Genomic DNA, 10,792 nt, shown 5'->3' on the forward strand with positions numbered 1-10,792 from the left:
AATAAGTTTGTTATATTCCGTTTAGTACTTTGTGTCTTTGCCCTGAAGTGTCTTGATGTTAAAGCATGTGTTATTTATAGAACCACTAGCGTGTACAACATTTTTGTGTTATGAAAACTTGATTCACTGAGATTTTTATTATATTATTGTTGAATTTATGTCAATTGCTGTTTAATCATGGAGAGCAGTATCTCATGATGTCCAGAAAAACCAGTCCCATTCCAGGAAATTATCACTCCCATCTTCCCTGTTAACGTTTTTCCTTATTTTATAGACTCAGTGGCCTTGAAAAATATCATATATTAAGGGGACATTAACAAGAAACCATATTCATAATCCCATTACCTTTACATATCCACTATTTCCACAGTCTTCTGCTTTTAAAAATAATTTTTGGGCTGGGTGCGGTGGTGCACACCTGTAATCCCAGCACTTAGGGAGGCCAAGATAGGCAGATCATCTGAGGTTGGGAGTTCGAGACCAGCCTGGCCAACATAAAGAAACCCTGTCTCTACTAAAAATACAAAATTAGCTGGGCGAGGTGGTGCATGCCTGTAATCCCAGCTACTCATGAGGCTGAGGCTGGAGAGTCACTTGAACCCGGGAGACGGAGGTTGTAGTGAGCTGAGATCGCGCCATTGCACTCCAGCCTGGGCAACAAGAGCGAAACTCCGTCTCACAAAAAAGAAATAAATAATAATAATAATAATAACTTGGGGCCAGGTGCAGTGGCTCACACCTGTAATCCTAGGACTTTGGGAGGCCGAGAAGGGCAGATTACTTGAGCCCAGGAGCAACATGGTGAGACTCTGTCTCTGTAGAAAATACAAAAATTAGCCAGGTGTGGTGGCACACACCTGTAGTCCCAGCTACTTGAAAGGCTGAGGTGAGAGAATCACTTGAGTCCAAGAGATGGAGGTTGCAGGGAGCCGAGATCACACCACTGCACTCCAGCCTGGGGGTCAGAGCAAGACGCTGTCTCAAAAACTAATAATTTAATGTGAACTGTGTTTCAACATAGTGTCGTTTATCCTAAGTGTTATTGTTAACATCTAGGTTTCACTCCTTTTACTTCCAAATAATGCTGCAGTGATCAACTTTGTTTAAAGACCTCCTGCTCCTTCCTTCCTTTGAATTATCTCCACAAAATAAATTTCCAAGCATAGTATCAAAAAACACAGATATTTTCAATTTTAATCAGTGTTACCAATTTGCTTTTCCCTCAGTTCTTTGGTTTCCCTGAAGCTCCAGCGGTCTTTATTTTTAAGACATGCTTTGTAAAATTTCTTTTTTTTTTAATTGTAACGATAATCTTCACCTGGAAAAATTGCTAATAGTTACACATTAGTACCTATTACTTTAATTTTTACTCTTTTTAATTTCCTTTTATTGCCCATTTAGCATTTAGTTATTGGATCCCGATACTAGTACATTTTTATATGTGTTACAAACATTTTATGCATTCTTTATCCTTTTTTGTTAGTGTTATGAATTTGTATTGTATTAAGTTTTTATACTTTTAGAGTTAAATCCATCTGTTGATGCCTTTGCATTTTATTTTTCTTCTTTTTTGTAGATCTTGTTGCATACCAATGCTTTTGTATTTTAATTGTTAATATTCCATTACCTGTCAGCTCTTCTGATTTGGTTCATTAAAAATACATGTAACTCTTCTATCTGAAATTGATTTGTTATGAGGCAAATTATAAATCTAAATCATCCTCAGTAGTTCTGTCGAGTTTGCCCAGTTCCATATCTATGTATTTATCTTGCAGAAGTAGAAAGATGTGTGCACAAGGATATTCATAGCAGTACAGTGTAAAATAGCAAAAAAAAAATGGAGGTAGGTTACAAATAGATAATGGTTGAATAAATTAGAAAATACTATGAAATACTATGTAGCCATTAAAGGAAAAAGGAGATCTATGTTTATATCCTAGAAAGATAAAGACACTATTTAGTGAAAAAAGCAAATTTTGGTATAATAGGTATAGGATAAACGTGTTTGTATACATGCATGTAAATGCATAGAAAAGGGTCGGGTGGTTGGGGAGGAGGGAGAAATTTCACTAGGTATTCTGCATGTTTCCATTTTGCTGGATTTCTAGAGAAGAATATGAAGTATAAGCCCAGATGCAAGATGTTTTCCTTTAAAGGCAAAGAACCTAAGAACAGCCTTTGACTAGATTAACTCTTGAAGATAGAGGTGTGACAGCCAAATTTTTGTTTTACCATTAATTTAATGCCATGGTATATACATATTTTAAATCATATTTATCACATGTGTTTTTTCATTCGCATTTTTTGACTCGCATTTAGATGCTTCACGTGCCTTTTAATGTTGGTGTCTTCATGGGAGGCACATTTGAACTAACCTAGCAATTTCCAGAGCACAGCATCTGTACTCCCTTCTAACCTGTTTGAGACACAGCATTTTTAATTTAATTTTTTCATAGGTAATCCATTCACGTGGTTCAAAAGTTTTTAAAAAGGACCGGGCACAGTGGCTCATGCCAATAATTCCAGCATTTTGGGAGGCCAAGATGGGTGGATCACGAGGTCAGGAGTTCAAGACCAGCCTGGCCAACATGGTGAAACCCCATCTCTACTAAAAATACAAAAATTAGCCAGGTGTGGTGCCGCACACCTGTAATCCCAGCTACTTGGGAGGCTGAGGCAGGAGAATTGTTTGAACCTGGGAGACAGAGGTTGCAGTGAGCTAATGTCGCACCATTGCACTCCAGCCTCGGTGACAGAGCGAGACTCCTTCAGGAAAAAAAAAATATATATATATATACATATATAAAATGTTACACAAAGAAAAATCTATCCCACCCCTTCCCTTTATGCCTGGTTTCCAGTGCTCCTCAGCCCCGACTGGTAGCTTGTTATTGTCTCTTTATGCATATACGAGAAAGTACAAATACACAATCTTAATTTTCCTCCTTTTTAAAATATAAAAGGCAGATGCTATACCCACTGTTCTGCAGCTTGCATTTTCTTTTTTTGCCTGATGAATATATCATGGTGATTTTTCCATATCAGTATATTAAATGTCTTCATTCTTTTCTACAGCTGCAGAATAATCCATTGCATAATTGTACCATCATTTATTTAGAGTTACAGCACATTTTAAATTCCACTGGGAATTTGACCCTGAGCCAAACGTACCTAGCTGCATTACAGTAGCATTTAATGGATATCTGGTATTTATACACTATTCTAAGTGCTTTAATCCTGCATTATCTCAGCTCATTTAATTGCCCAGCAGTCTTAAGAAGTAGGCATGATTGTTATCCCAATTTTACAGTTGAGAAAAGAAAGGCATAGAGGAAGAAATAAGTTGCCCGTATCATTCTGAAGTTAACTTTCTTAGGTAAAATTGTGACCACATTAATTTCGAAATGTTAGTTGTTTAGCATAGGTGAAGTCAGCAAACTTTTTCAGTAAAGGGCCTGGCAGAAAATAGGCTTTGCCAGTTGCCGCAGCCACTCAACTCTTCTAGTATGAAAGCAGTCACAGACATTACGTAATGAATGACATTACATAAATGAATGAGCATGGCTGGGTGCCAATAAAACTTTATTTACAAAAGCAGGTAGCTGGCCAGATTTGCTAGTCCCTGCAACAAGTAATTCAGCAGCACCTTAGTCTTGAAGTGCCCTATGAAAGCATCTAGGCCCGTGGCTGTGCGGCAGCCGGCCCACAGGCGTCTTCTTGTTGCATTTTTTTTTTTGCCAACAGGGCCCAGGATTTCAGCTCTTTAACTGACTTCTTTATACCTGCTCCCACCTGTTATTTTGTTCCTGTTTCTGTTATCCTTATCCATGAGTCATTGGGTAGGAGGGTAGTTTAACATGCTCTGCCTTCTCTGTCCTTGAAAATAAATGCACATATTCTCTATACTGTTGCCTATAAGAAATTAAAAACAATACATGTGAAGATAGAGTCCAGAATTCAGGTGCCTTTTTTTTTCCTTTTTTTTTTTTTTTTTTTTTTTTGAGACAGAGTTAAGACTCTGTCGCCCAGGCTGGAGTCCACTGGTGCAATCTTATCTCACTGCAACCTCCGCCTCCTGGGTTCAAGTAATTCTCGTGCCTCAGCCTCCCTTGTAGCTGGGGTTGCAAGCGTGCAATACCATGCCCAGCTAATTTTTTTTTTCTCTTGTACTTTTTAGTAGAGAGGGGCTTTCACCATGTTGGCCAGGCTGGTCTCAAATTCCTGACCTCAAATGATCTGCCTGCCTTAGCCTCCCAAAGTCCTAGCATTACAGGCATGAGCCACTGTGCGTGGCTTCAGGTGCCTTTTTGTATTGAGAGCCTGGATTTAGCACACATGTCCACCATTTTTCTTGATCAGGTTTGACCCACATGCAGCCAACGGGCAAAATGTGGTTTCCCTTATCCACCAGGGTGAGCCCTTCCTGAAATGTTTATCAAGAGTTTCTTTTTCTCTCTTCAGCAGCTTGTTGGTGTAGTCACCTCTCATTGTGGATTTTTAATCAATTTGATCTAAACATGGAAAAGCAAATTTTACTTTCCACAGATGGGCAGGATGTAGTGAAAGTCCAGAGAAGGTTCTCACCAAATGTGTGCAGCTCGGAAGAAAAAGGTTGTGGTCCTCATGTCCCGTTATTCATTTGGTGTCTTGGGGCTGTTGATGTTACAAGTCAGCTTCATTGCTTAATGTGATTGTGAGATTGCATGTTTTCTTTGTGTGCATATTTTCAACTAGGCTAGTTTGTGAAATTAGTAATGTTTTACCTGAAAGATTGAGAAATCAAAAACATCACAGCTATAAAACTGGCATTTGGCTGGGTATGGTGGCTTATGCCTGTAATCCCGGCACTTTGGGAGGCTGAGGCAGGAGGATCACCTGAGGTTAGGAGTTGGAGACCAGCCTGGCCAACAAAAAATCAGCCAGGCGTGGTGGCACGTGCCTGTAATCCTGGCTACTTGGGAGGCTGAGGCAGGAGAATTGCTTAAACTCAGGAGGTAGAGGTTGCATGAGTTGAGATTGTGCCACTGCACTCCAGCCTGGGCGGTAGAGTGAGACTCCATCTCAAAAACCCCAAAACCTGGCATTATCAACTGCAGAGTCAACCTGTATAATTTTAACAAAACAGAGCAGTATTTCTGTTCTCAATTTTCAGAGTTGGCAGGAAGATCAGTATTCAAACACTGCAGCAAGTCACACAGTGTTATTCCTTGTCACTCAGAAAGCCTCTCTCCAGCACCAAGGCCTGACTGAGCCTGCGTCTCTTCTCTTACAGGCATGACAGCAAGCGCTGTGGCGGCTTTGATCCTCATGACGTCCTCCATCATGTCGGTCGTGGGGTCCCTGTACCTGGCCTACATTCTGTACTTTGTGCTGAAGGAGTTCTGCATCATCTGCATCGTCACGTACGTGCTGAACTTCCTTCTTCTCATTATCAACTACAAACGACTAGTTTACTTGAACGAGGCCTGGAAGCGGCAGCTGCAACCCAAGCAGGACTGACGCCCGACAGACTCCACCCTAACAGTCTCAAGCCCCTTTCCATTCAGTTTATTTTGCAGCAGGTTTTTATTATTATTATTATTATTATTATTCACAACAGACACTTTCCCTAAGAATCTCAAACTGATTTTTAAAAATCCGGTAAATTAGAAGGGGCCCTCGCTATTTTCTGTGTCAGTCTTCATTTTAAATATGGATACAAAAAGGATACGCCGAGCCAATCAAAGACAAGCTTTAACTTTACTTTGAAGTGTTTCTGAAATGATAAAATGTAGCCCTAGCCCCCTGCCCTCAATTGTAAAGTGAGCAACCATTGCTAGTAATTCTTTAATGTGTATAAATTCAATTTCAGGTATAACAAATGTGATCATGACATGAAAATATTCTAGAATAGATACTGTATTAAATATTGCCATGTTTACAATATGTAATATGTTTTTAGCCGATGGATTTAAACATGTAGATTCAACTAGAATCCATTTGTGATATTTGTAAATAAAGGTAGAAATATTAGATCCATTTCTGCAGAACTTACTGTACAGTTTAGTTGGAGTGTAGCACTGAAGAACTGTCAGCTCAGCGTTGACTGAGGAGATAGTGAAAATAGCCTATACACAGCATCTTGTGAAAAGTACTGGCAGCCGTGGTTGCAGCAAATAATAGGGCAAAAAAAATAATAATAGGGTGGTCGGTTCCCTTTCATCTCCCTCTTCTGAAAGGAAAAAATTGAATTGGAACGTTCAAGTCCAGTTTGTGTTCAGTCATAAAACTGGGCCAGTTGTTAACCTTACAGAATGAGTCATGTGGCCAGACCTTCAAGTCCAAGGCCTTCAGACACTAAGGATGGGAAAATGGGTATTTTTCTTTGGAGAAAAGCTGGAAATATAAACATGGCATTTTTAGGTAAAGTTTCTTCCACTAGTTGAATTTTCATGCAGATATTTTTCCTTAACGTTGGTGCCAGTCAAGCAAAGAGTATTATGATGGAAAAGACCAGTCCAAGCCCCATCGCTCCGGAGTGGGAGCCAGTGTTCTTGCTAATTGTTTCTTTCTGCACTAACCACTCAGATGTCTAATTTAATTGTTTTGCAGTCAAATACTGGATTTGTAACCTTCAGGGCTGACATGCTGCCCAGTTTGCTTCATCGGGAGAATAGCAACAGGTAGACACATCTCAAGGCTAAATCTGCTCATGTCGCCACTGCTCTCATAATGACACACATGCAGTAAGAAGACTTTTGTAAGGGGATTTGAGTACACCCAAATGAAATTGTGACAGGATGTTTGTATGGTTAACATCTGATATCAGAATGTTAAAAGTGCCTTCTGTCTTAAATCTCAAACCAAATATTTTGTGTGTTGACCTTGGGCAGAAGAAGTGTCCTTCCCTCCTTTCTTCACCGTCAGGTAGAAAACCTGCACTCTGCAGAAGGGTCCTGTGTGATCACTTAATCCTCTGGTTGAGAAGCAGCAGTAATGTTTTTGCTTCCAACCTGATTAATCATTTTATGTTGAAAATAGTCAATGAGACCAGTATCTCTTGAGTGCTTTATTTGCCTTCTCTTTGAAGGGAGGGGACGGGCTCTGCTCTGTAAACTCAAATGTGTAGAGTCAGCAACAATTCCGTAGCTTCCAACTGACTCAGAATTGATGCAACGTAGGTCTTCTGGCCCGAGGCAGGTATCAAGTCCAAATCATAATGAACTTTTCACCAGTTTCAACCAGTTTCTTAAAAGAGAGCTTAAGTCAAGATTTCATCAAGACTTGTGTTTTCCCATGAATGTGAATCTTTCAATGGCTGTTGGAGTATGTATGTACTGTTCTTGCATTCTGAAGTAGTTAAAGAACTCTAGAAAGTACTGATTGGCCATCTGGTGTCTATGGAGAAAGAAGTCCTCACGTTTGAGGGCTGTACAGTGAGGCCATCTTGTAGCAGCGCATCCAGCTCTACCAAGGCAGTCCTCTGGTTCTTTTTTCTAAGCTACAGTGGAAATGGCCTAATGGTTAAAACTGTGGTATACATGACATCGGTTGTGCTAAACAAGTTCCTCGTGTCCCAATATCCAATGGTTTTTCATCCTATTTTGTATCAATCAACAGAGTATAGTTAAAGCTTGTCTTGATGTTGCATTCTTGCAAATGTCTTCAACTCTTACCTGAGAAAACATGGCAAAATGGTCAGCCAGACCCTTCCAGTTTTTCCTTTGCTTTTCTAAGCCTCGGGGAAACCACTGTTTCAGTTGTATAAAAACTTTTGCCACATTCCTATGGCCCAGTCGAATTAATACCCTTTTTCTCACTGAGAGAGGAACACGTACTGCCTGTCATAACAGCATTGTAATGCCAGTGTCTCAGTAACAGAATCCTGGTGGGTGTTAATTGGGTGTTTTTTGCCCTGGAGAATTCAGATTCCTTTCTATACCTCCGATTCTGCCCAGAAGAGGGGGGGAATCACCAGTGTTACAAAATTAGAAGATTGTTTTGCCTGTTTTAGACTGAATATTTGAACACTGCAGCATTACTAGCCACCAGTGTTAAAGGACAGATGAGGGGAAACATTTGTTTTTAGCAGTAATTCCATGCCTCATCTTTTTTAAGTGATTTGTTCCAAATGAAGCCATTTATTGACTTGATGTTCACAAATATCATTTGAAGAAATAACAGGAATTGGGGTTAGATGATAAATTCTAGGGAATCTAGGTGATTTGGAGGATTTCATTTGTTTTGCATTACAGCTAGTTGCTCTCACTAAAGGTAAATTTCCGGTGAAATAACTCAGGTTTAACTAGCTGTGTGCCCAGAATCACTGTTCCTTCATACATGTGTCCTCTCCTTAAATTCATTACTTTCAAATGATGTTCAAAGCATTGACTATTTTCATTCAAAGAAACTACATTCGGCCGGGCACGGTGGCTCACGCCTATAATCCCAGCACTTTGGGAGGCCGAGGCGGGTGGATTACCTAAGGTCAGGAGTTCAAGACCAGCCTGGCCAGCATAGTGAAACCCCATCTCTACTAAAAATACAAAAATTAGCCAGGCGCAGTGGCACACCCCTGTAATCCCAGCTACTCGGGAGGCTGAGGGAGGAGAATTGCTTGAGCCCGGGAGACAGAGGTTGCAGTGAGTCAAGATCATGCCACTGCACTCCAGCCTGGCCAACAGAGCGAGACTGTCCCCCCCCCAAAAAAAAAAGAGAGAGACTGCATTCAAAGAGGACCAAGACTACAGTGAAATTAAAACTGTTTGCTGGCTGGGCATGGTGGCTCACACCTGTAATCCCAGCACTTTGGGAGGCCGAGGCGGTTGGATCACCTGAGGTCAGAAGTTCGAGATCAGCCTGACCGACATAGTGGAACCCTGTCTTTACTAAAAATACAAAAATTAGCTGGGCATGGTGGCGGCACCTGTAATGCCAGCTCCTCCAGAGGCTGAGGCAGGAGAATTGCTTGAACCCAGTAGGTGGAGGTTGCAGTGAGCCACAGTTGCGCCATTGCACTCCAGCCTGGGCAATGAGTGAAACTCTGTCTCAAATAAAAAAATAAAAATAAAAACTATTTGTTGACTTTTGTTTTTCATTTAGTTTTGGAAAAGACTATTTGCAAAAGTACAGAGTTATCTTCAGCAATTACTTCACAACTTAGATTGGTACCAAGAGTGACAGGAGATCTTGTCTTGGAAGATCATTATTAGATGCCAACAAGGAGACCCACTGTGATTTCTGGTAACCTATTTGGGGAAAAAGACCTAATGACCTAATATGCAATTTCTGTCCTCGTGTCTTTTTCTCTAACACACAGTCATGGGTGAAACATTTCAGACACCTCAGGCAGCACTTATGGTTTCTAATTGTGAGAACTACCCTTCCATCAAACAAAAAGGGCAAGGGTGGGAGCCCCGGCTACTTGGTTAAACATTTTTTACTACAAATTCGCCCAGAAAAGGTGAAATATTTTGTTATAAAACTGTATTAAGCATGGCCTAAGTATTTATTAGGTATATGATCTGTGTAGTATGTTCCATCAGAAATATTTCTTACTAGTGCTTTAAGCTCCAGAGTAAACAGTCATTTAAAATGGAGTTCACTGGGCAGGTTTCCCCTTTAATCTAGATAGAAATACTCTTTATCAGAGATTTAAGGCACTGTTTTGCTAACTGGTAAATAAAACCAAATGTAAATATGTAAGAATGTTTATTTGTTGCACATAACTTTTTTGGTATAAAATAAATGTAGAAGTTACCTGTGGAAGTTGTGCTCCCATTATTCTTAAACTGCAGGGTTGCATTCCAAAAGAACTGAAACGAAGTCTTTTTAGACTCAGTAGGAGCCTTATATTCTTGAAGTCAATACTGTAACCTCATTTCTAAGGTATACAGGGTTGATTCTTTTTCTCTTAAATCATATGTAACTTGCAGAAGATTCAGAGTCCTCAGACCTCTAGTTCTTGGAATTCCTGTAGGTTTACGGTGTATGTGATTGTCAAGAATTAATGACAAAAATGTGTCACTGCCTACAGTTCTGTGAACACTCAGAATGTATTAATGAGCTGTTTTTCCATAGTTTTACTTTAGCTTACCTTGAATACTCCCTGTATAATCCTCTAAAAAGGTAGCATCGGCAAGAAAGATGAATCCGTTGGAAATACAGCTGAGCCATACTTCACGGAATAGAACAAGTGTGTTCTGTGCTGGAGCTCAAGACCTGTGGAAAGGGACTGCCCCCACTGGGTGCAATGGCTCATGCCTGTAATCCCAGCACTTTGGGAGGTAGAGGCGGGTGGATCACTTGAGGTCAGGAGTTCAAGACCAGCCTGGCCAACATGGTGAAACCTGCCTCTACTGAAAAATACAGAAAAATTAGCCAGGATTGTGGTGTGCGCCTGTAATCCCAGCTATTCAGGAAGCTGAGGCAGGAGAATTGCTTGAACCAGGGAGGCGGAGGTTGCAGTGAGACGAGATCACGCCACTGCACTGCAGCCTAGGCGACAGAGGAAGACTCCAGCTCAAGAAAAAAAACAATGGACTGCCCCTAATTTGTAAACCATTTAAATGTGTCTATTACATTTAACTTTTCTTAATGTTTGTCAACTAAAAGTTTTATTCATTATACTTTGACATACTGGAACACAAAACTTGATTCCTTTGAAAAACTAAAGAGAAGTTGATAAAAAAAATACAGAAGCTCTAGATTCCTAATTGGAACTGACTACACTCATTTTTAAAAAATGGACGATGCCTAATAAAACCACATGAAATTAACTTTATTCTTTCTTTCATGGAGCTTGCACAGGAAA

At 40.2% G+C, this 10,792-nt stretch overlaps 1 protein-coding gene across 4 annotated transcripts in view; it reads left to right on the forward strand.

Moving 5' to 3' along the window:
• Positions 1 to 10,757, forward strand: part of VKORC1L1 (vitamin K epoxide reductase complex subunit 1L1) — a 93,787-nt gene extending 83,030 nt beyond the window's left edge. For all 4 annotated transcript variants that reach the window (XM_011515831.3, XM_047419923.1, NM_173517.6 and 1 more), the window contains one exon: positions 5,273 to 10,757. In XM_011515831.3, the coding sequence (XP_011514133.1) occupies positions 5,273 to 5,499 (227 nt within the window). In that variant the 3' untranslated portion in view covers positions 5,500 to 10,757. The remainder of the gene's footprint in view (positions 1 to 5,272) is intronic.

The sequence above is a fragment of the Homo sapiens genome, chromosome 7 (assembly GCF_000001405.40).
Source record: "Homo sapiens chromosome 7, GRCh38.p14 Primary Assembly".
NCBI classification, from domain to species: domain Eukaryota; kingdom Metazoa; phylum Chordata; class Mammalia; order Primates; family Hominidae; genus Homo; species Homo sapiens.